Source organism: Homo sapiens, chromosome 19 (genome assembly GCF_000001405.40).
Source record: "Homo sapiens chromosome 19, GRCh38.p14 Primary Assembly".
Classification (NCBI taxonomy): Eukaryota; Metazoa; Chordata; class Mammalia; order Primates; family Hominidae; genus Homo; species Homo sapiens.
The window spans coordinates 32,049,285-32,074,326 of record NC_000019.10 but is presented as its reverse complement, the minus strand read 5'-3'; the positions used below and the strand labels follow the sequence as shown (position 1 = coordinate 32,074,326).

The 25,042-nt window shown below is 46.9% G+C and overlaps 2 long non-coding RNA genes across 6 annotated transcripts in view; one reads left to right on the top strand and one right to left on the bottom strand.

Annotated features, from left to right (window-relative positions):
• Positions 1–204: 204 nt before the first annotated feature.
• Positions 205–2,145, bottom strand: LOC105376899 (uncharacterized). The gene is made up of 3 exons (XR_935913.2): positions 1,932–2,145; positions 1,551–1,653; positions 205–956 (listed from the first exon to the last, which is right to left on the bottom strand). It is a non-coding gene; the product is annotated as an uncharacterized LOC105376899 (long non-coding RNA).
• An 82-nt stretch (positions 2,146–2,227) lies between these two features.
• LINC01837 (long intergenic non-protein coding RNA 1837) overlaps positions 2,228–25,042 on the top strand; it is a 234,720-nt gene continuing 211,905 nt past the window's right edge. For 3 of the 5 annotated variants that reach the window (XR_007067222.1, XR_007067219.1, XR_007067217.1), the window contains exons 1-2: positions 2,228–2,276; positions 2,400–2,471. This is a non-coding gene — a long non-coding RNA (long intergenic non-protein coding RNA 1837). Of the gene's footprint in view, positions 2,472–25,042 lie in introns of all 5 variants that reach the window. The other 2 variants (XR_007067223.1, XR_007067220.1) reach the window with 2 other exon arrangements.

Genomic DNA, 25,042 nt, shown 5'->3' with positions numbered 1-25,042 from the left:
CTGGTCCAGTTTTCCACCTTGGCCTTCACCATGAGGATGTGCCTGGGCCAGCCTCACATGGAGGGTGGGAGCCAAATGGCCCATTTACCTCTTATCCCAGCTAACAGCCAACCCACCACCAGCATGTGAATGAGCCCTTTCAAAACCAGAACAACTGCCCAGCCGAGCCCAGCCTAAAATGCAAAGTTCAGACTTGTGTACTAAATAAAAGCTAATTATTTTATTATGCCCTGAGTTAGGGCATTTTTTCATGCCCCATTGTCATTGTGGACAGACAGGTGACTGAAGCAGCATCCTGGACTCTTCTCTTGCATGAGTGGTCGAGAAAGCCCCTGTCTCCTGCCAGGTACCTGCAACCTAGTCAATAATGCATCTTGTTGGCTCCACCTCCAAACATCTTATGTCTTCTCTTCTCCATCTTCCCTGACCCCACCCTTGCCTAAAAGTCCTGCATCCACTCTTTCCCACTCACAATTTGTTTGCCTTACTGAAGCCCTAGAGTTTTTTTTTTTGTTTGTTTGTTTGTTTTTTTTTTTTTTTTTTTTTTGTTTTTTGCAAAGGAGCATTTTGCTTACTTGCTCAAAAACTTGCAATTACTTTGGATTCATTTAAAATAAAATATCACCTCTTGACCATGGCTTACAAGGCCTCATGCGACCTTGTTTTTGCCACTTTCTCTGCCCTCTGCTCCTACCATTCTCACTGTTCCTCACTCTACTCCAGCCACAGGATCTTCTTTTTGTGCTTGCAACACATGAACGTGAATCTTGGGCTTTTGCACCTTGCCCAGAGGTGGGTGACTGCCTCTTCCTTGTCCTTGGCATCTCTGTCCAAATGTCTTTCCCTCAGAGAGGCCTTGGAGGGCCCAGGACACTGGTGGATTCTCTCTTCTTCCAGCACAAGCTCACATTGCTTATAACATCTGCCTGGTGGCTCAGTCTTCTTATTGGAAGTGTCTGCTGAGATAAGAACATGCTCCAAATAGATATTCACCAAATAACCAAGGTGAAACCCAACTAGGCAGCTGGCCATGCATGGAGAGTAGTCCTGGGGATGGTGCTCTGGCCTAGCAGCAGAACATTCTCTGGGGCCTTGGGGCAACTGGCCTTTCTGGCGACCCAACCTGGACATCTGGACAGCCAAGGGAGTGGAGTGAAAGTGGGGATGGGGGCTCCTGCAGCCCTAGAGTGGGATTCTGTAATGAAATCTCAGCTTGGGTTTAGATTTTTGTTTTATTTCATGTGAATTCTGAAACTCCTCTCTGCTCTGGAGTAAATGCTGCTGGCCTCAGTTCCGCCTTCCTAGAGCCCCATGAGGACCCAGGGTACGCAGCACAGCCACCCTTCTCTGGATTTCAGCTCTGAGGAGTGCCCTCTCTCTGGGCTGATGACCTGTGTATGTGGCAGGCCACACTGCCACTGCTGTGCTGGTGGGAAGCAGGGGTCTGTAGCATCAGGGTGACATAGTGCTCTGAAGTCCCATGCCATCCTGGTGCACTATTTTGGGGCCTCGCTTTACAGACACAAGATGCCAGCCATGATGGCTCATACCTGTAATCCCAGAGACTTGGGAGGCTGAGACAGGAGGATTGCTTGAGGTCAGGGGTTCAAGACTAGCCTGGGCAGCATAGCAAGATTGGGTCTCTCCTTTCATCTTAAAAAAAATAAAAAATTAAAAGAATTAGCTGGGTGTGGTGGCCTGTGCTTGTAGTCCTGGCTACTTGGGAAGCTGAGGCAGGAAGATCCTTTGAGCCCAGGAGTTGGAGGCTGCAGTGAGCTACGATTGCACCACTGCACTCCAGTCTGGGTGACAGAGTGAGACTTTGTCCCTTTAAAAAATAATAAAAGAAGACACTGCGTGGTTATGAAAGCAGTTATCTTATTCCTTCTGAGCTTATTGGGATGTGAGGTTTCTTCAGAAGAAAATCTTACTTTTGTAGTTGGAGAGTCCCTGACCTTGAGTGGCGTCAGTGTGGTGGAGGCCCCAGTGGAGAAGGCCCCGTGACGGTGTGACTTCATGTGGGATTCCAGCTTAGCAAGACCCCATAAGGGGATTCAGAGCACAGCCTCTTGATACAAATCCATCTGAGGCACTCTTCCATCCCCCAAGAGGGGCTGGGCCAGCTTGAGTGGGTGTAGTTGCCAGGGAGCTAGATGTTTCCAAGGAGACTGATTATTGGGTCTCATCTAGGGAGGGATGGCTTTGTCCTCAAAGGCATTCAAGGTTGGTCTGGCCCCAAGAACTGTACAGCAGCAGCAGCAGTTCAGCTGGCAGAGGTGTGCTCTTGAACCACTCTTCACATGTCCATATTATCTTCTGGGTATTCTCCTGAGCTCAGAGGCACCAGGGCCCCAGCGAAGTCACCTCCCTGTTCTCTCTCTTCTTCCTCCTGGCCCCAGGTGCTGTTGCTGAGCTGGGAGTGGAAAGCACATTTTCTCTTCATGATAGATGGTGTACCTGCACGTGGGAAGGTGAGAGGTGGTGACAGTGGGGGCGGGGACTCCACCATGGGACCTATTGAGCTGGGGTCTTCATCCGTTCCAGCTCCTGGCCCAGAAGGAGCCTCACCATGGCTTCATGATGGCCTCACCATGGAACCCAAGAACACAGCTGCCACAGGACTGCTCCTACCCTCCCAAGAGCCACTCTTAAACAGCTGCCAAATGGCAGCCAGCAACCTGGGGTGAAGAGGTGGGCAGTAAATGGATGTGGTCCTAGTGAAGTCTTCTAACAAGATTTCTGACAGTCTTACTCTGTCACCCAGGCTGGAGTGCAGTGCCACAATCTCGGCTCATTGCAACCTCTGCCTCCCAGGTTCAAGCGATTCTCATGCCTCAGCCTCCCGAGAAGCTGGGATTATAGGCATGCACCACCATGCCCAGCTAATGTTTTGCATTTTTAGTAGAGACGGGGTTTCATCATGTTGGCCAGGCTGGTCTCAAACTGCTGACTTCAAGTGATCTGCCCGACTTGGCCTCCCAAAGTGCTGAGATTACGGATGTGAGCCACTGCGCCTGGCCTGCAAGACTCTTTTGTGTGTGTGTGTGTGTATTTCAGTGCTGTGTACTGAAACAGGAAGGATCTCCATTAATGCTGGTAGTACTAGAAGGTAACATGCAATGCCATCTACCCTTCTATTGACTCTTCAGTACTATCAAGGAAGAAAAGGAAAATAACCAGTAGCCTGGAAGAAGCTTTAAGCTCATTAGATAAAGTGTGCTGTCCGGATTTTCCCCAGACCTTCTCTGTCCATGATAAACAGAGGGAGAGCTGGGATAGGGTTTTGAACAATTGCATTGCAGCCATGTTGATGTGGGTGGTGTAATGAAAGTTGGAAAAATCAGAGTGATTTGAAGAGTATGTTTGTACTTTATTTAGTTTTCTGCTTGGAGCTAGCAAACATTCTCTGCCTAATAGTACTGGTTAGTTTTGTCAAAGACCAAGAGCAGGGAAATATGTCACTGCAGTCTATGAATTATCCATGCAACTGGGAAGTGTGTTTCTTTACTTAACTTTCTCTATTCAAAGCAAACTTATTTTTTCCTCTTGTAATTCTAGGGAAAAAAAATACCCTAACCCCTCAGACAGTGACATTACTGTCACCTGCTTAAAATAGTATGACGTTCTTCCAGTCTTAGAATACTCTCTAGGGCTCTCTGTTTTCCATGAAAGCATTTATTTCAGTCAAAATACTTCATGCTTTTTCTCCACTCCGACATTCACCAAAAAGGAGCTGTAAGAAAATATAGCAACTCAAAACCGCCATGTCATTTTTAAAGGAGCTATTTTCTTTTTTGACTAATCAACCTTCGTTGTCTCCTTGGGTACTGAAGGAGCCACAGGACTGGGTGGCGACTGTGTCCCCGAGGAAGAGCCGATCTCTCAGCTGCCTGTGTGACTACACATGTCTAGGGGTCTGAAGCCTGCCTGGGAGGGGTCCCTGGAGAGGGTAGGGGCTGACACTCCCCTGCACCCTCACCCCGGAGTTGACATCGCTGGTCTGTTACACCCGCATTCTTCTTCTCCCCTGATTGGGCCGGGACCAGGTGTGGGCCTCCCTCCTCCTCTCGTCATCCCTCCTGACTTCTGCAGGCCTCATCCTGGAAAGCCGGGAGGGCCGCCCCCATCTCCCGCATGATGAACCTTTTGAATATTCGGACGTGGGCTCCTGGTTGGAGATGTCATGTCTTTCCTTCTGTTGTTAGTCTGGAGACAACACAGACCCCCCTGGTTTACCTGTGTAGTCCCAGGGTGTCTCAGGTGCCAGGAGCCGCTGCCACGAGTGCCTCGTCTCCTGTCAGATGTGGTTGGTGAGAGACGAGGACAGCATGACCACTGGGCACCACACAGTACAGAGGTCAGCGTGCAAGGACAGCGGGACGGCAGTGATGTGGCCGTGACTACTTGTCAAGTGAGTGGAGAAAAAGATTGGGGAGGGCGGGGGGGAGACAGTGGCAGGCAGGGCAGTGGAAAAGCGGGGAGGGCTACAAAGAGAAAAGTCCTGTTATCCCTGATGAAATATTCAGTGTTGTCTTTGATGTTTCATAGGCTGTTTCCCTCCAGGGGGTGGATTTCTAGATCATTCTTCAGGCCCCTCGGAGGCGATGAGAGCACTTTGTTTAATAGATTGGCGGTGCTCATCAGAGACATCTGTAATGCATTGCCAGTGGTTTAACGTTGGGGGACCCTGGAAAGTCCAAGCTGACTCTATTGTGTGCCAGCAGCACACACGTGCCTGCGTGGGTGCAAGCCCTCACATTCGGGACGTACGTCATCCCTGCCAAAAATGACTTTTGCCTCCAGCACGCCACCTTTTTAAGCCTATAGAACTCCGAAACTGCTGTATAGTAACAAGTTTGTGAGATTTTGGAAAGGAAACCACAGTAATGATGCCAGTTCTTATGATCATAAATAATCATAATTAACAGGACTGCTGTATATTTATGTTGGTTTGTTTTCAGACACTTTTCATTTTATTTTGAATTTTTTCATATTGTGTTGACTTGAAACACTTCTGTCTATAGCGTGGCGTGCTTCTACAGAACACTGGAGAGCAGCATACTTTATTTGTCCTCGGAAACAGACCACAATAATGTGGGAACTTCTATCTGCTGGCAGGTTCACAGAATGGTGATATTAGTCTCATTGAAATTGCTATATATTAGACAGAGAATCAAAAGCCAAACGTTTAGAGTTTGTTCTTGGACCAGTAACGTTTTTCTGACTTTCCTCATGTATCTAGAATACTGCCTCAGGATGGCACGTGCACATATTCTTCAGTTTAAATTCCTGACAAGCTTGGGTAGCATAACATGACAATAAATAATTGCTCTATGTCTGAAAATGTGTGATGACTCACGGTTAAATGTCTGGGAAGGAGAACAATAGCTCTCATTCTGACACTGAAAGCGAGGCTGGGGCCTGGGTCCTCAGTGATCAATAATCTATAACCCATACATTGATTCTGGGTGGAATGTGGGGTGAAACACTCAGAAAATCCAACGTCTCAGGAAAGTGATGATGTGCACCCGGGGTGAGAAATTAGACCTCATTTACATGAATCTCATGTCAATAAGCCTTTGGTTGCTTTTCTAGAGTGGAGACATATCCTCTGTAAATTTCCAGTTGTGAATTTATAGCCAGGTATCTCTGCCTCTAAATTTCCCCCCTGCTCCTCCAAGAAGGGTCTCCCGTCTCTATGTTTCATCTGTGTGCAGGCACCCCCTCCCAGCTCCTTCTCTCAGAGGGAAAAGAGGCTCTGCCAGGGAGACCACGACAGCTTCAGAATGGAACGATCTTTCCAGCTAGCAGAAATTGAGACAAAAAAGTTTGTTTTTCCTTCTTTCTCTCTCTGGCTTTCCCTGGGTTGTGATTTTAAACTTCTAATATGTGCATACTGGTGAAGCATTGTCCCTACTTAAATTATTTGTCTCCCTGTATGGCAGTTTTGCTGGGAAATGAACTATTCATGTAGCTTTCAGAATCACCATGGGTTTACATTAAAGCCTTAGGCCAGGTCTACACAGGCAAAGACCAAAGATGATTATGATTATGATTTCAAGCTCTCCTTTCATCTGACTATCAGGATATTTCATCCAGAAGCAATAGCAATTTTATTATTTTTCTTCATTTTTTTCATTCCTAGTCCTCCAGCTCATGGGGGCTCCCTCGCTCTGGCCTCAGTGGATGTCGGGATGCCTGACTCCATAAAGACTCATCGATTCCAGGCAGCCGGGCCCTGTTTGATTGCCCTGTGCAGGAATGGACCCAAAAGTGCAGCTGGATAACAGAGAACTTGAAGGGGGCCATTGGTGGTGTGAGGAAGGAGGGATGGGGATGAGAGCTGTTGAAGGGTAAGGAGAAGCAAGAAGGGTCTCGTGACAGAGAGCTGCCAGACCTGGTCTCCCGTCCTATAGCACAATCAGAGGTCCTGTTCGGGGTGCCCCCTGGAGGCTTAGAGACAGCTCCTTGGTCCAGGGATTTGCTAGGTGGTTTCCATGGAAACAGACAAGGGCCAAGGGAGCCAGAAGACAGGGGAAGAACATGGTGGCGGCTGAGTGGGTGCTTTGCAGAGGGCAGGAGAGTAGGAGAGAGCTGAGTTCCAGAATCAAGATGGTGGGGCTCGAGTCATTACAGTTTGGTATTTAAAGTGAGCATGACCCCATTTCTGCCCCCCTGGGAGGCTGGTAGCATGTGGACATACCAGATTCCCAGCTTTGTCAAAGTCCAGGCAAAGTAGCTGGGGCAGCCCATTCATGCTTCATGCTTCTCTCTCTGCCCTGCCTCTGCAGGTGGGCATGGGTCTCCTCATTCCGTGGAGATGGATGTGCTTTGACAAGTGCTTTGACTCCCCATGAAATGATGGAAGGAGCTTTGCTCTCAGCTGATTCAGAGTTCTCTAGTCCAGTAGGATCCCAAGTTCCAGCAAGGAACAGGTGCTAGGTCTGGCTGACAAAATGCAGAACATAGAGCTATTATCGTTAATAGTGATCTTCTGGTGAACTGGCAACAGCAGACATTTTTTTATTGCTTACTCTGTACCTAGTACTTTACATGCTCTGTCTCATTCTTTTTGTTTTGTTTTGTTTTTTGAGATGGAGTCTCACTCTGTCACCCAGGCTGGAGTGCAGTGGCTTGATCTGGGCTCACTGCAACCTCCTGCTCCCAGGCTTAAATGATTCTCCTGCCTCAGCCTCCCCAGTAGCTGGAATACAAGCGTGTGCTACCATGCCTGGCTAATTTTTGTATTTTTAGTAGAGACGGCGTTTCATCATGTTGGCCAGGCTGGTCTTGAACTCCTGACCTCAGGTGATCCACCTGCCTCGGCCTCCCAAAATGCTGAAAATACAGGCATGAGCCACTGCACCTGACCTATCTCATTCTTTTAATGACTCCCTGAGATAAGATAAGATTCTTTTTTTTTTGTATCCATTTTACAGATGCAGAGACTGAGGCTTAAAAAGGTTACATATTGTGTCCAAACTCATAGAGCTAGTGGAGCAGGAGTTTGAACGCAGGCAGTCTAATTTTAGAGCCTGCATTCCCTGCTTCCCTAAATCATGACAAAGACCGCATCCCCATGCATTTTCTCATGGAAGTTGCTCAGCTGGGGAGTTAGGGGATAAGTAAGGAGCCCTGGCCTAGGAGCTGGGAAGCCTGAGCTCTTCCATTTGCTTGCTGTGTGGTCTTAAGCAAGCCACATCCTTTCTTTAGGTCTCAGCTTATTTATCTATCAAACAGAGGCTTGGATTGGATTAACCCTTGAGGTCCACCCAGGTACCAGAACAGGATGTTCTCCTAAAATGAAACTTCAGGACATGACTGGGGCATCTCCTGAGGACATGCAGGGTGAAATGAGCATTTGGGGATGCCTTGATTGCCTGTGGTGTTGCAAAACCACATCAGTGTCATTGTTCTTCATTGACACTGGACTACCAGAGACTAAACCAATAGGTATGTGCTGAGAATCAGGATGGTTGCGGTGGCAGGTGACTGACCTCCTCTGGGCATGCACACTCTCTTACCTGGCCCACCTGCTTGCTGGTCATTCTCTCCTCCAGCCCATGCCAGCCTCTGACCTCAGGGTGCAGGAGGCGAGGCGGGGGGATGGGGGTGCTTCCCTGGGAAAGATCCCTGGGCAGATGGGCAGAGTACTTAGAGAACCTTTAATGGAAAACAATCTTTTCTAATCTAATGTGAAAAACTTTGCTTTCTTGGGTACTGAACTTTTTGAAAATGGGGTTAATTCATCAACATTCTTTTGATTAAAGCTGTGCTTCCCTTCTCACTCAGCATCGGGGGCTTCCTTGGCTGAAGGGAGCTGAATTCTAAGGCACCTTGAAAACTTGAAGGGAAGGGGCACGTTTTTCATTCCTGAGGTGGGATGGAGATTTTCACTCTGGAGAGGCCTCTGTTGCCCACCCCCCATCACCCATTTACCAGCCTTCCCTGGCCCTCCCCCTGCCCCAGGAGCCTGGCCCTGCAGGCTGCCCATGCTGGCCAGTGCCAATTAGATTTGCCCACCGGTAGGCTGCAAAAGGGAATCAGAGAACAAGGCGGGTGTGCTGTCTCAAGCTCCCTCTCTGCTTTGGGGCCAGGTATCTGGCAGAGATTCAGCTCCTGTCACAGAGGCCTTCCTCTGAGGTTCCTGGGCCCGCTCATGGGGCTCTGGGAACACTATGTCGTCCCTGGGCCATTTGGATGATGTCTGGTCCATCACTGGCCCCATCCGTGACAAGCTCTCTTTCCTGCACTTCCCTGCCTCATGTGGTCTCTCTCTAGTCGGGCATCTGCTAATACTCCTATTAGTAAGAGACAGGTAAGGTAAATGGCTATTACTAAAAAGTCAAAAAATAACAGGTGCTGGAGAGGCTGTGGAGAAAAGGGAACACATATACACTGTTGGTGGGAGTGTAAATTAGTTCAACCATTGTGCGAGTCAGCGTGGCAATTCCGCAAAGACCTAAAAACAGGACTACCATTCGACCCAGCCATCCCATTACTGGGTATATATGCAAAGGAATATAAATTGTTTACCATAAAGACACATGCATGCATATGTTCATCACAGCACTATTTCCAATAGCAAAGACAAGGAGTCAACCTAAATGCCCATCAATGGTAGACTGGATAAAGAAAATGTGGTCCATATACAGCATGGAATACTATGCAGCCATATAAAAGAACGAGATTGTATCCTTTTCAGGGGCATGGATGGAGCTGGAGGCCATTATCCTTAGCAAACTAATGCACAGAAACCCAAATACCGCATGTTCTCACTTATAAGTGGGAGCTAAATGATGAGAACACATGGACACATAGAGGGGAACAATGCACACTGGGGCCTGTCAGAAGGTGAAGTGTGGGAGGAGGGAGAGGATCAGGAAAAATAACTAAAGAGTACTAAGCTTAAAAAACTGGGTGACAAAATAATCTGTATAATAAGTCCCCATGACACACATTTACCTTTATAACAAACCTGCACTTGTACCCCTGAACCTAAAATAAGAGTTAAATTTAAAAAGGGAGGTAGGTGAGGTAAGGGTATTCCCAGCTTGGTGAGGAAGCTAAACCCCAGGGAGGTGCTGATGGCCAAAGTCACAGAATAGTTTTATGCATGAGCTGGGACTCCAACCAGAGGCTTCCAATTCCAAATTTGGTATTATTTCCATAGTTCTTCTCCCTGAATGATTGCGCTTACCAAAAACTTTTGGTTGTTCATGAGAGAAAGCTTTCTTAAATATTTAGCTTGGGAAATGCAAGCAAACCAGTCATGTAATTCACAAATTTCCTAATTGTTTCCACGGCCATAGGCAAAAGCGCTCATTCAGCCTTAAATGAGAACCTACACATTTTAAAGAATATTAATGATACTGAGATACATAGGAAGACGTTTATTTATCCTGTTGACCAACATGAAAATATAAAGCAAATGATTAGCAAAAGACAAGCAGAATGTGTATTTACATGTTATGATATATGCAGGGGTAATATGAGTGGTACAAATGTATTTTTAATTTGAGTGTATTTATTACTTGTGAAAGTGAAGACTAATTATGCTGTCTCCATTCTGGCATTATAAGAGAGGTTCAAATGCAAGCTCAACCCCCCACCCCTCCACCCCTTACATTGCTTCCAGCATTGCAGACCGCGTCTCTGGCAGGGTGGGTGCTGGAACGGGTTTCTGGAAGGAGACTTGAAGGACAAAAGGGAGGCAGATTTAGCTTCTCTTGTCACCTTCTCCTCAAATTGCCCATCCAGTTCTGTGCATAATTGCGACTTCCTCCTGCAACTTCTCAGTCTTGTATCTAAGGCCGTAATTCAATTCCTTCCCAGTGGACATCAGAGGGGGCAACCCACCAAGGGATGCACATTAGGTGTGGCGAATCTGTCCACTGTGGTTTTAAATCACCGGGCTACAGCCGATGCCGCTGGAGTCCTGGGCGGTGGATGGGCTGCGTGTTGCCAGAGTTGCAGTGAATTCTAATTATAGGCTCTAACTGGCTTCCGAAGGCAGTTTTGAACTTCAGTGAGGGCAAGCAGTTATTCTTGGCGGCTGACACAGAGGCCTGACTTACAGCGAGGTGCCCTCCTGGCAGAACTCAGTGAGGGAGTGATGGAGAAGGATGAGCGGCATTCCCTTGGTGGAAGTCCTTTTCTGTCTCTGGAGGCTTCTTCTCAGCACTCCTGTGGGCTGCTCCTACTCTCTGCCCTCTGGTCTTTTATATTTTATTTTATTTCATTCTTTTTAAAAAAAATTTTTTTACTTTAAGTTCTGGGATACATGTGCAGAATGTGCAGGTTTGTTACATGGGTATACAAGTGCCATGGTGGTTTGCTGCACCTATCAACTCATCATCTAGGTTTTAAGCCCCTCACGCATTAGGTATTTGTCCTAATGCTCTCACTCCCCTTGCCCCCCAACCCCTGACAGGCTCCAGTGTGTGGTGTTCCCCTCCCTGTGTCCACGTGTTCTCATTGTTCAGCTCCCACTTATGAGTCAGAACGTGCAATGTCTGGTTTTCTGGTCCTATGTTAGTTTGCTGAGAATGATGGTTTCCAGCTTCATGCATGTCCCTGCAAAGGACATGAACCATGAACTCATTTTTTTTTTTTTTTTTTTTAGATGGAGTCTCGCTCTCTCGCCCAGGCTGGAGTGCAGTGGCATGATCTCCACTCACTGCAAACTTCCCATCTCAGGTTCAAGCAGTTCTCTGTCTCAGCCTCCCGAGTAGCTGGAATTACAGGTGCCCACCACCACTCCCAGCTAATTTTAACTCATTCTTTTTTATAGCTGCATAGCATTTCATGGTGTATATGTGCCACATTTTCTTTATTCAGTCTCTCATTGTGGAGAAACAGGAATGCTTTCACGCTGTTGATGGGAGTGTAAATTAGCTCAACTATTGTGGAAGACAGTGGGGTGATTCCTCAAGGATCTACAACCAGAAATACCATTTGACCCAGCAATCCCATAACTGGGTATATACCGAAAGGATTATAAATCATTCTACTATATTTTATTCTTTTAGAGGTGGGGTCTCCCTCTGTCTCCCTGGCTGGAGAGACATGGCACAATCACAGCTCACTGCAGCCTTGAACTCTCGGGCTCAAGCAATCCTCGTGCTTGGCCTTCTGAATATCTGGGACTACAGGCACATGCCACCTTGCCTCACTAATTTTTAAATTTTTTGCTGAGATGGGATCTCACTGTGTTTCCCAGGCTGGTCTTGAACTCCTGGGCTCAAGGGATCTCCCGCCTCAGGTTCCCAAGGTGCTGGGATTATAGGTGTGAGCCATCATGCCCAGCCACTCTTGGTCTTTATTCAGACTGGGTGCTTCCAAGCTCTAGTCTGTGGTTCTCAAGTTTGACTGCACAGCAGAGCCATCTGGAGAGCTTCAAAAAACCCCAATTCCCAAGTGGCACCCCAGACCAGTTAAATAAGAAATTCTGTGGTGAGACCAGATGATTCCACTGTGCAGCCAGGGTTGAGAATCATTGTCCTAGGTTGTGGCTCATGTGTACCCTTTCCTGCCTTCTCCTCTCAAGAATGGGACTTACTGGGGATTGTTGGTGGGGTTGGGGTGGAGGGGTGGTGGCTGCCTCTGCAGGTTGACATTTGTTAGTGGTAAATTTATCACAGCTTGTAGTTTGATTCTCCACCTCACAAATCTAGAAACAAGATTTGATTCTGATTCTGAGAGTGGATCTGTCTCTTAGGTGTGGACTCACATTAGTCAAGATCATGAGACTGATGTATAAACCCAGAAACCCAATGTGTAATTTAACAGTGAAAAAGAAAATGGTAGGTGTATTAGTCCATTTTCATGCTGCTAATAAAGACATACCTGAGAGTGGTTAATTTATAAAGGGAAGAGGTTTAATTGACTCACAGTTCTGCATGGCTGGAGAGGCCTCAGCAAACTTATAAAACTTATAATCATGGCAGAAGAGGAAGCAAACATGTCCTTCTTCACATGGCAGCAGCAAGGAGAAATGCCGAGCAAAAGGGGGAAAAGCCCCTTATAAAACCATCAGATCTCATGAGAATTCACTATCACGAGAACAGCATGGAGGTAACTGCCCTTATGATTCAGCTACCTCTCAGCGGGTCCCTCCTATGACATGTGGGGATTATGGGAACTGCAATTCAAGATGAGATTTAGGTGGGGACACAGCAAAACCATATCAGTATGAAACTGGGCTTCTTGCATCAACTCAAGCTCAGATTAGGCAATTTTCCCGCAGTAGCATTTTCTACTCTCTTCTTGGGCAGGTAGTTGTACCACTAGGTAAAATGGGCAGCCCATTACATTCTTCTCAAATGACTCATTTGAGATTCATCCAGGCTGGGCCTTGCCAAAATGCTGATTTCTTTTTTTGGCTCTGACTTCCTACAAGCCTGGTAAACTGAAATTTGCTCAGGGAAAACTATGCTGGTTTCCTCAGCCTCCTTGGATCCTGGGAGACTTCACACTTCCTGGATACCTCTTTGAACAAAAGGCAGAGAAAGGAAAAGGGGCAGTAAAGGAAAGAGCAGTGTAGTTTCTTGTTTTTTTTTTTTTCCAGGATATTTTCCTAGGCATTGCTTTCTCTCAGCGTGGCAATCCACATTTGAATTTGAAGCTAAAAGCAGCAAAGTTGCCACAAGGTGGATGGGCCACAGGAGGTCATGATGTGTGAAGGCAGGGACTTGGAGAAGCAGAAACTAGGAGGCAAAAAAAAACAAAAAACGTGGAAACGTTCAGAGTAGGACTGCACAGTGAGGGAGACTTGTAAGGCTGGGGCCGGTGTGCAGAGTGGCAGGCCTGGCACAAGACACACAGGTCCGACTCATTCCCCTGTTCCTTTCCTTTGAGCTCCATGTGCCAATGTGCCAGTGGCACTGCATCTGGGACTTCATTCAACACAATCACACCAGAACATGTGTCTCAGAGATCAGGGGGCTCCTTTGCAGGCTTCCCTGGGGTATAGAGGAACCTAATTCCCCAGAAATCTCCATTCAGTTCTCAGGCATTTTTTTTTTTTTTTTTTGGAGACAGATTTTCCCCGTGTTGCCCAGAGTTGGGTACAATGGCACAATCATGATTCACTGTAGCCTCGACCTCCCTGGCTCAGGTGAGCCTTCTGCCTCAGCCTCCTGGGTAAGCTGGGACTACAGGTGTGCATGTCCAGCTAATGTTTTTGTATTTTTTGTAGGGATGGGGTTTTGACATGTTGCCCAGGCTGGTCTCAAACTCCTGGGCTCAAGCCATCTGCCTGCCTCGGCCTCCTAAAGTGCTGGGATTACAGGCGTGAGCCACGGTGCTCAGCTTTGGGCATTCTTAATGGGCTGTAAATGGTTCCAATAGTTCCTGCTCTGGACTTGGGCATGTGTTGGGGTACAGGCAGGGCTAAAAGAGGCCAGACCAGGCCTGGCATATCCGTCTCCATAAAATGCTCACAGCCAGCAGCTGTCCACAGAGCAAGGCTGGTATTGGGGCATGCTGGCTGATTTCGAAAATAAATGAGAAAAACGACTTTTTGCATTGTCTACACCAATCATATTCAATAAGAGGTATTACTAATATTAATAGAATCAATGAAAAATGCATTTCTTTAACACTGTCATCTCTCATGGTGACATGCGTCTTGAGCTGATTTGCAAATGTGGGGTTCTAAGTGGTGCGTGGTCAGAAGCAGTTAGCTCCTAATGTTATGCTGCCGCACGGGCAGTAGCCGAACCTATTAATGAACTAATCCCAGACTCTCCAGTGGATGCCGTCTGGGCTCCTCCGCACTACACTTTGCATTTTAGCTAAAATCAACAACATTAAAGAAAGGAGAATTTAAATGGTTTAGGCTGCTTATCGCCAAAATTAGACAATGCGTTCAGGAACAATGAGAGAGAAAGGAGCAATGGGTAAGGAAGATTTCTGAGTGCGGGGAAGTAGATTCAAACTTTGCTCATCATGCATTGGGCAACCTGCCCCAATCAAACATCGGCCGTGGAGGTCGTGGGCTCTGACTGTGTAGCCAGACTTCCTGGTCCTACCACTCACTAGCTGTGTTATTCCAGTAAATTACCGAGCCTCTCTGTGCCTCTGTTTCTTCATCTGTGAAATGGGTTGGTGTTGGAACTTATATCCAAGGGCTTCTCTAAAGGTTACATGAAGGTGCATATTTTCAAAGTGCTTAGAAGTGCGTGGCATATAGAATATGCTATCATAGGACTTGTCATGCCAATTCATTTATTCTGCAAATATTTATTAAGTATCTGTCACATGCCTGGTAAAATTCTTAGAGCTTGGGATTCAGCTTGAGCAAGACAAAGTTCTTGCTCACGTGGAGTTTGTGTTCTATATGGAACCATAAGAAACAGGTAATTTCAGATTGTAATAAGCAATGTGAAAAAACAATCCACTTTGTTTTTTGTTTGTTTTGGGACGGAGTCTCCCTCTGTCCCCAGGCTGGAGTGCAGTGGTGTGATCTCAGCTCACCGTAACCTCTGCTTCCCAGGTTCAAGCAATTCTCATGCCTCAGCCTCCCAAGTAGCTGGGATTACTGGCACGGGCCACCACGCCCAGTTAATTTTTGTATTTTTAGTACAGACAGGGTTTCACCATGTTGCCCAGGATGGTCTTGAACTGACCTCAAATGATCTGCCCTCCTCGGCCTCCCAAAGTGCTGGGATTACAGGCGTGAGCCACCTCACCTGGCTGAAATGATCTACTTTGGACAGAGTGGTCACAGAAAGCCTCCCTGAGCGGGGGACACATGAGAAGATGCCTGGGTGATTAGGAAGGCGTCTGTGTGCCAAAGCCCTATGGGTGGCCCGAGAGTGGCATGAGCAATGCTGAAGAGACATAATGGGGTCTGGGAGGCTGTGGTGGGAGATGCCTGGGGTTGGGCCTGCCTTCCCTGCTTTCCACTTTCACCTTTGAGTAGAAAATCCCCCAGCAAACAGACACTTTTGGAGAGCTAAGTCAGGCTCTGGCTCGGGCCAGCGAGCTGCCTCATAGAATCTATGGTGAGGACATTGTCCATTACCTTGGAGGGGACCCAGCTAAGAAATTTCTCTCAGGCCTCAGCTGCAGGAAAAGCAGGATCGCTGCCTTTTCAGTTTTGCTGACAAGGTGCTCCTTACTGGGTTTTGTTTTCCTTTTGGCTTTAGCTCCATGGAAAGCTCAGGGCCACGTTTTCAGTGTCCCCGTGGGCACTGCATGTCCATGTGACTATGTTTGCACCTTGTTTATGGCTCCAGGGTGGACTTGCCTCTCCTTACATTAGCCGGGTTCCTCCATCTCTTTACTTCACCCTTTTGTGCCCTTTTGAGAAGTAGCTGAGGAGGAAGAAAAGGAAGGAAGGAAGGAAAGAAGGAAGGAAGGAAGAAAGAAGGAAGGAAGGAAAGAAGGGAGAGAAGGGCAGAAGGTAGGAAGGAGGGGATGAAGGAAGGAAGAGAAGGGTGGAAGGAAGAAAAGATGGAAGGAAAAAAGGAAGTAAGAAGGGAAGGAAGGGAGAGAGGGAAGAAGGAAGGAAGGAGGGAAGGAACGAAGGAAGAGGAGGAAGGAAGGAAGGACATAAGGAAGGAAGGAGGAGATGAAGGAAGGAAGGAAGAGAAGGGTGGAAGGAAGGAAAGAAGGAAGGAAGAGAAGGGCAGAAGAAAGAAAGGAGGGAAGGAAGGAAGGAAAAATAGGAGGAAAGAAGGAAGGAGGGGAGGAAGGAAGGAAAGAGTGAAGGAAGGAAAAGAAGGAGGGAAAGAAAGGGGGAAGGAAGGAAGGAAGGAAAGGAAGGAAGGAAGTTGCACCTGAGGATTTATTCATGAGTGAGACACTTCTGCCTTGGAGTTAGATCCCAGCAGAAGTGCTGGTCTTCCACTTCTGGGAAGGTAGCTTAGAGTGGTGTGAAGACCCAGGGGGAGCTGTTGCCTGTGCTGGCTCTGTGGCTGGCAGACCTTGGCAATGGATACCAGGGACTGTGGCTGGTGTCTCTTAGAGCTGGAACATCTTGCTGTGTGTAATGGGCTGTTATATGTTTAAAGGTACACACTTAAAAAAAAATAAAGGAAACAGCATGGTGCCAAAGGCAGGCCACCCACTTCATCTAGAATCCAATGAAAGAAGGAATGACAGACAAAGATGGAGGTAAAGTTGACAGCGTCCACTTACCAAGGGGAAGGTATGTTGGTCTCTGGTGCTACACTGTCCTAAGGGACTTTCAAGTGTATTTTTCATCTCACATCAATTTCTGGGTGTCTTCTGACTTTGGAAGCTCAGTCATGTAAGTTCTAACTCCACTGCCTTTGTAGACAGGAGGAGGATAGCAGGAAGATGGAAGGGGCAACTGAGCCTGGCACAGTCCCTGGGGCTTTATTTTCCATGGAGAGAGCTGCCCCTAGAGCACCTCTGGGAGGAAAATGGCAAACCCTTGCCAAAGCTGGCTCTGATTCCCACTGGCTTCTCCTGCTGAAGGAGGGGGCCTCAGGCTACCTCTCAACCCAGCTTGGGTCAACAGAGCATCGAAGGCCGCCCAGCGGAAGATGGAGTTGAGGCTGGGGGCTGGGGGCTTCACTGGGTGCAGGGTGTCCATCTGGCACAGCTCAAGCTCTCTGAAGACATGTGTTGTGTGCATTTGGGGTCATTCTTATTCTTCTGTTTCGGGTCATTTCAGCAAGCCCCTTGAGACAGGCTTCCTTGGACTCACCTGATATCTGTGTAGAAGGGCTCATGGTTGTCCACCCACTACTGGAAGCACGTTCTTTCATCTCCAATGAAGGAGAAATCACCCCCACTGGTCTTGCAACCAATCTCGGCCGCCAAGGCTTGGGGAACTCAGAAATACCCAGATGAAGTTTGAATGTCTGAAGATGGGTCCATCAGCCCTAATTTGCACTGCATCACATTTGCAAGTTGCAAAATGGAATTTGCAATTGCTTTTCAGCAATGTTCAAATTAGCACTTCTTAGCATATTAATGAACTACCTTTTTTTTTCATTATGTGACCAATTTTAATGTAAATAGCAGTCTCAGTGCAAGGATTAGGTCAGTGTTTGATGGGAATAAAGTTCCAAAGCTTCCAGTGGAGGCCAAGAGTCTGGCTTGTGGATGGGCATGGCTTTTGCCCAGCATAACAACTCAGAATGTGTGGATTTATCGGACTCCTTAATCTGTCAGGCTGTAAGTCCTGGATGAGGTCTGTGGCTCCTGACTCAAGAGATGGCACAAACCATGAGAGAGGTTGCAGACCCCGTGCCTGAAAAGGCTGGTGACTGAGCCAGCAGTGCAGGAGAGTGGATGATACCAAGTATGTTCATCTCCATGCCTACAAGAGAGGTCACAGTGTAGGCCACCTGCAACAGATCAACTCCACACCTAGAAACGGTGCAATTTTCTTCAAAATAGGTCAAAATCAGCTATAATGGGTTCTGTGTGAATTTATTTTCCTGAGATGTTTTCCTGTATTGCTGCTGCCCTGGTCTACACTCTAGTAGCTGGTCCGGAGTCTTAAGAGTGCATTGTCCATAACCCACCTGAGCATTTTCTGGAGCCATGTCAGGATAAATTCGAAGGATCCCCCACTACAAAGATCTTGTAGCTCCCAGCCATAAGCAGCTCAGTGATGGGACTGAATGCACAGAGGACAAGAGAGGAAATCAACAAATGGGACTTTTAAACCTGTCCCGAGATCAGGGACAGAACTGTGCACCATCTGCCCCTCCACAGAGTCAGCCTTTGAAGAAATGACAGACCTCTCTGTGGGCTCTAAAACCACTGGAGCCAGATGAGAAAATGGTGCCTGGGGAGTCTGCCTGGGTGGTCTCCCATCAGCTGCATCTGACCCACTGGAGACGGTGTCCTGTGTCCTCTGGAAGAGGTGGTGACCCTTCTGCATAAGAATGACACAGCCACACCAAGATCCCACAGACAAGCATGGACCCCCAAGTTTTCCAAATGGCAGTGCTTTCTTGGTTCATTATTTGAAATGAACTGATTATCCATCCCCAGCTTGAATTACCAGGTAAATCGTATTTTCCTGCTGAGTGTACATTTGTAATGCTGTCCATTTCATCTTGCATGATAGCAATACATTCCAGGGACTTCAGCACCTATTCTTTACTATCTATAGATGGGTGCGTGGGTGTGCTGATTGCATTTTAAAAACAAGAGTTTGTGTATCTGATGGGTCTGGAAATAATCAGTAACTAAGGTAGCAGAGGAGAAAAAAAAATCCAGCTCTTGATGAGTAATTTAAAAACTGTGAATACTTCACAGCTTGATATATTCCTGGGGAAGGAGTCCTTCACTCACTGTGCAGCCCGAAGTGCAACTGGGCCAGTGCATACCTTTTTTTGGAGACCCCGGGAACCTGCTAGGCATCATGGTACCGGGAGAGGAGGCTCTTCTGCCTCCCATCAGCCCTGTGACTTCAGAGGATCCATTATGCTATGGTTTGAATGTGTCTCCTGTAAAATTCAGGTGTTTTGGCCAATGTGATATTACTAACAGGTGGAGCATTTAAGAGGTGATTAGGCCATGAGGGCAACTCTCTCTCTCTCTTTTGTTTCCAGAAACAGAGTCTTTCTCTGTTGCCCTGGCTGGAGTGCAATGGTGTGATCATAGCTCACTGTAGCCTCAAACTCCTAGGCTCAAGTGATCCTCCTACCCCAGCCTCCGAAGTAGCTGGGACTACAGGTGCCTATCACTATAACAGGCTAATTTTTGAATTCTTTGTAGAGATGGGGTCTTGCTATATTGCTCAGGCTGGTCTCAAACTCCTGGGCTCAAGCGATCCTCCCTCCTTGGACTCTGAAAGTGCTGAGATTACAGGCATGAGCCACTGAGCCCAGCTACTCCTTTCTTGTGAGTACGATTAAGGCCTTTATGAAAAAGGCTTTATGCAGTGTTCAACTGGCTCACCCTTCTACCTTCTGCCACATGAGGACATGGTTCCTCCCTCCAGAGGATGCAGCAGCAAGGCACCATCTTGGAGACAGACAGCATCTTCACCAGAAAACTGAACCTGCTGGCACTTGAACTTGGACTTTCCAACCTCCAGAATGGTGAGAAAATAAATTTCTGTTTTTTATGAATTACCCAGTCTCAGGTATCATTACAGCAGCACAAATGGACAAAGACACCTTATATGTTTATCAGTCCATCTGTGAACTTATGGTAGATTCCATAAGCCTTGACTAAAATAGACTCAGTTATAGAGGCTCCAAAGGTCTCAAAAAAAAAAAAAGACTCTATAGGTGAGTTTATCTTAGTTAAGGCTTTTGCAAGAAGCCCACGTCAGATGGGCTTGTCAAACCACAGATGAACTTGGCTCCTGTAACTAAAAATCCCAGGGGGTAGATCTTCAGGTATAGCTGGATCCAGGGGCAAGAATGCTGTCAGCAGGCTTCTGCTCTGGTGTTCTCTGCCTTAACTCCATTTTCAAGCAGCTTGGAGTCTTTCTTTGTGGTGGCAAGATGGCTGTCAGCAGCACCAGACATTCATCTATCTTCTCTGGAACTTCAGTGAAAAGATTCTCTTTTTACACAAAGACCTGTTATTGAGTCAGGCTGTTCCATATTAGTTCCTATCCCAACCCGTGAGCCAATCATGGTGGCCCGTGGGATATGATGCCCTCATTGTCCTGGTCTGGGTCACTTGCCTGTCCCTGGAGCTGGGGGTGGGTTCAGCGCCACCCAAGACCACATGGATCGAGCATGGGGGAGGAGTGATTCCTCAAGGAAAATCGGGATGCTATTTCCAGTAAAAGGAGAAAAGCGGCTGGGCAGGCAAAAACAACAGATGTCCACCCCAACAGCTTTTCAGCTAACTACTCACAGACGTCCAGGAGCAAGTTATATCCAGAGAACAGAAAAGGAGGCTGATTTTACGGATTTAACTATTTATATTTTCTCAGTGAGAGGCTGGCCATAGGCTTGGGTTTCCCTTTAGACGGAGGCTAGTCACTTTCACCCTTTATTTGCAAGCTCGTAACATCTGCTGGGCTCACCTGAGAGAACTCCCAGCTTCTCTGGCTGGAGACTGATGGGAAAGGAAACCCTCTTTTGTCACTGCCTAGGGATCAGGTCTGCTGCCTTCATGGCTCTTTCTGCTCCAGCGTCTGAGTGTCAAATGCCTGATTATGGAGTCAAAGACCAGGCTCTACAAAGGGTCCTCCCAGAGGGCCATCATGTTTTCTAGTGTTCTTTTTCTGAGCCACAGCTGCATTCGTCTGTCCCCACAACCTGGATGTTGGCTCCTAGGCTGTTTGGAACACATGACTCATGTAGTGGTTATGGAGTCAGTCTCTCCTCCTCTAGCTCTTACAGATTAGCCATTTCAGGCCCCGGAAATGCTGGAGAAAGCCACATATAGCATCTCTCTCCATTCAGGGGCTGAGGCAGCTACAGATGGGGGACTTTGTTTTGTCTCTTTCTTCCTTCATCTCTTCCCTTGCTCTTTCTCCCTCCCTCATTTCCTTCTCTTCTCACTCTTCCCTTCCTCCTCTCCTTAACCTCCTCCCTGTGATGGATCATGGAGGGAATCACTGGTGCTCTCTGGGCCTCTAGGTTTCTAAGTTACGTCTTTCCATTTTCTCTGGTGGGAGTGTAGGGTCTGAGGAGGTGGAGACAAGAGAGCTGTGAGAAGCAGGTTGGAGGCTGCCCTTCTGGTATTTGGACTCCACGTCCCCCCACAGCCTCCCTTGGGAAGACCTGGAAGGTCTAAGGGGACAGATTTTGTTTTGCCTTGAAGGACTCCTTGGCTGGTTCAAGCCTGGAAATGCTCCACGTGGGCTCACCCTTCTCTCCAGGTGTTCAGTCTCTCATCCCAACTGCCCAGCTTCTCTCATCTTCCATTTGCCTTCCCCTCAGAGGCCGGGCCAAATCCCATGAGGACAATTCATAGGCAGGGAGCCGTAGCCACCTCCTTCCCACTTATTAGGGCAGAATCGCTCTGACGAAGCCGCAACAGCCCAGCTAGTGCCTCATTATTTTGGGCTTCATTGAAATGCACGGCAGAGCCATCCTCAGTACTTTATGTACTAAACTTAACTACAGTAATGTATTCAAATCATTCTGAATTTATCTAGCCTGAGCATCTTTTTTTTTTCCTCTTCCTCCTCCTCCTCCTCCACATATATATTTTTTTGAAGACAGCAAATGTGCTTTTTGAAACAACAGCTTAGGGCCACCTATTCTGCGTGGAAGGGACAGGTGGCTCCTTTCTGTCTCCATTGTCCCCTTTCTCAGCCAGGGTCATCCAGTGCTTACCTGATGGCTGTGGTATTTTGGCCATAGTCCCCCTTCTGGCTCCCATGTTTCACCTTCATCATTCCTTCCCCAAGTCCCTGCCATTGCTGGGAGGTGAACTCTGGAGTGGGGGTGACCTGTGGGGCCCAGATATCAAATTCCTACCTGGGGAGCCAAAAAGGTGGCAACACCTGGGGTAATCAGAAAGGCATTGATGAGAATGAAGGAGTGCAGAGGGCAGAAGAGCCCAGGAAAAGGATGTTGCCTGGGAGGTAGGAAATGGGTTATCTTTCCAGTTTGGTCATTTTCCTTCTGTGTGGCTTTGGGACACTCTATCCTCTTCTCTGGGGCTCAGTTTCCCTCATATTGAAACTTATGGTGGTGAGGATGGTCGTTTTGAGCCAGGTCAGGGGCTCTTAGCTTGGAGCGCATGCATGAGCTTTGGCGTGGCCCATGTAATTGACATTGTAAGCAACATTGCATTATTATCTTTTTGTGGTGAGGAGAAAGTCCATCACTTTCATTGAATTTCCAAAAGGCTCTTGGCCATCAGAGGCTAAGCTCTCATATATTTACAGGAGCCAGGGCCCCATTCACCTTCAGATGCTTTTGTTCAATGTTCTGGTTTTAGAGATGGGGCCACTAAGGCTCAGAGAGGGGACTGGCAAGTGCTGTGTGCCATTCTGATGGCGATCCCTGAAGGCAGATCCAGGCAGGGATTCAGTCCCAGAGAGGCTGGGAAGAACCAGCTGGACTCTGTCTTAGAAACTGACCTTCCAGAGAGGCACTGGGAAACCCAGGGGAGAGGAGAGACGTGGAAATAAGTAAATCAGGAACCACACATACACCAAAGCTTTTGGTGAAAGTAAAAACAACTGCGTGATATTGGTTAGTGACAATTGTTTGATGTGGGTTTCAGCCTGCACCTCTCTTTTCCAGCACCAACATGAGGCTCTGGTACACCAGAGGGAGAGGCTATAGCTGAGGACATGTGGCAGCTCCTGGGCTCTCCTCCCTCTTGGTGGAGACTGGACTCACTGTCCAGAAAGCGTCTCGTTTCTGCGGCACTGGGCATCTCCCACATGCTCTTTCTCTCTTCAGTGTCTAACTCTTGTGGCTATGGTCAGAAAGTAGTCTTCCTTGAGCTGATGGAAGAAAAGACCCCCTGCTCTTCTCCTCCCAGGTGGAATTATTTTGTCTTCCCTTAGTTTGCTCCTGTGGGATTTGCTCCTGCTCTGTTTAGCTGGAGATAGACCACCATGGGGCCACACTCTGTTCCGGTTGGATCTGTCATCCTGTCTCTTCTCTTGGGGCTGGGGGAATGGGTGCATGCATGAGCTTTGAGGTGGTCCATAAACCTCTTGAAAGTGTAAGCAACATTGCATTATTATTATTATTATTATTTTGTGTGTGCATTGGGCAGAGGAGAAAGTCTATTGCTTTCATTGATTTTCCAAACTTGGCTATCAGAGGCTAAGATCTCATATGTTTACAGGATCCAGGGCCCCATTCAATTTCAGATGCCCCATTCACTTTCAGCTGGAAATAACTGAGCTGCCATTCATCTTTCCTGGACTCCCCTGGATTCCAATTTGTAAGTGGCCCAGCTGTAAATACCCCATGGGAAGTCTGCAGCTACAGGTCAAATTTGGTCCCAAGCAGAAAATTCAGAACCACAAATAAGCAGTTCAGCATTCCTGTATGCCTAGAACACATGTTTCTCCATAGTCTTCGTCCACTAGGAAGGACTTTCCTGGGCACCTGTGCTTAGTATTTTTCCCTAATACTCAGCTAAATCAGTGCTTTTACTCTCCAGTCATGGAGGGAATATTAATCTAGAGTTGTTTTTAAAAATTTAGTTAAAAGATATAATTCCACTGTCTTTTAGAAAGGTAAAGACAAGCTTCCTTTGGTTATGGAAGTGTTACAGGATCCTAACACTTACCCAAAGTTAACCTTTGGGTTGGGGATTTCCTCACTGTAGTCCCTTCTGCGGTCGCCGGAAAGATGTTACAGAAAAGGGGTCCCCATCCAGACTCCAAGAGAGGGTTCTTGGATCTCGCGCAAGAAAGAATTCGGGGCCAGTCCGTCGAGTAAAGTGAAAGCAAGTTTATTAAGAAAGTAAAGGAATAAAAGAATTGCTACTCCATAGACAGAGCATCCCCAAGCACTGCTGGTTGCCCATTTTTATGGTTATTTCTTGATGATATGCTAAACAACGTGTGGATTATTCATATATTCCCTTTTTAGACCATAGAGGGTAACTTCCTGACATTACCACGGCATTTGTAAACTGTCATGGCGCTGGTGGGAGAGTAGCAGTCAGGATGACCAGAGGTCACTGTCATGGCCATCTTGGTTTTGGTGGGTTTTAGCAGTCTTCTTTACTACAATCTGTTTTTATCAGCAAGGTCTTTACGACCCATGTCTTGTGTCAGCCTCCTATCTCATCCTGTGACTTAGAATGCCTTAACAGTCTGGGAATGCAGCCCAGTGGGTCTCAGCATCATTTTACCCAGCCCCCATTCAAGATGGAGTTGCTCTGGTTCACACGCCTCTGACAGAAGTGTCATCCCATGCAATTGAGGAAGAAGTTCTATGTGCTCACCATTAAATACAATTTCATAATGAAAATTTTGTCTTATGAAGGTGAAACTTTGAGAACACATTAGAATTCTCATTTTTCTATGCATGGCAATCAAATGACCTTCCTATACTGCCACATAAAGTATAGATTTAAAGTTAAATGATCCAGTCAGTCATTTAACATTTTCTTAAAGAGTAATTTCTTCTGTAACTATAGATGTTTACATATGGTTTTCTTTTTGGTATTTACATTTTAAGAATTGAAGAAAAACTGACGTTCCTTTTTGGAACTGTTTTTTAATAGCCTTTGTTTATTTTTAATATGTGGCGTTCCAGGCCCTTGCTCTAATGATTTTTTTCACACTGCATTGATAATTAAATTCATTCATTTTCCCAGCTGCACAATTCCTTTAAATAAAAAGTTATGGGTAATAACACCTCTTATGTTCAAAGTACAGAGGAGAAAAGGGCAAATCAGGATCTTTCTGTTGAGGGGAGTTACACAGTTAAGCAGGTCATGGGTTAGGGCAAAAATCTGTGTACACGTTCTCAGGTATTCAGGTCTTCTTAATTCATAGATTAGGACCCATGGGTTTTGATTTTCTGGTACTGAAAAATATGCATTTTTCCCCCTTTATGTTCTAAAGATGTAATTTATCTCCTTATATCCTGCTCAGTTTTTTAGTTCATAATTTGTAGTAATAAGTGTCATCAAAAGCACTGAAAGTGTTGGT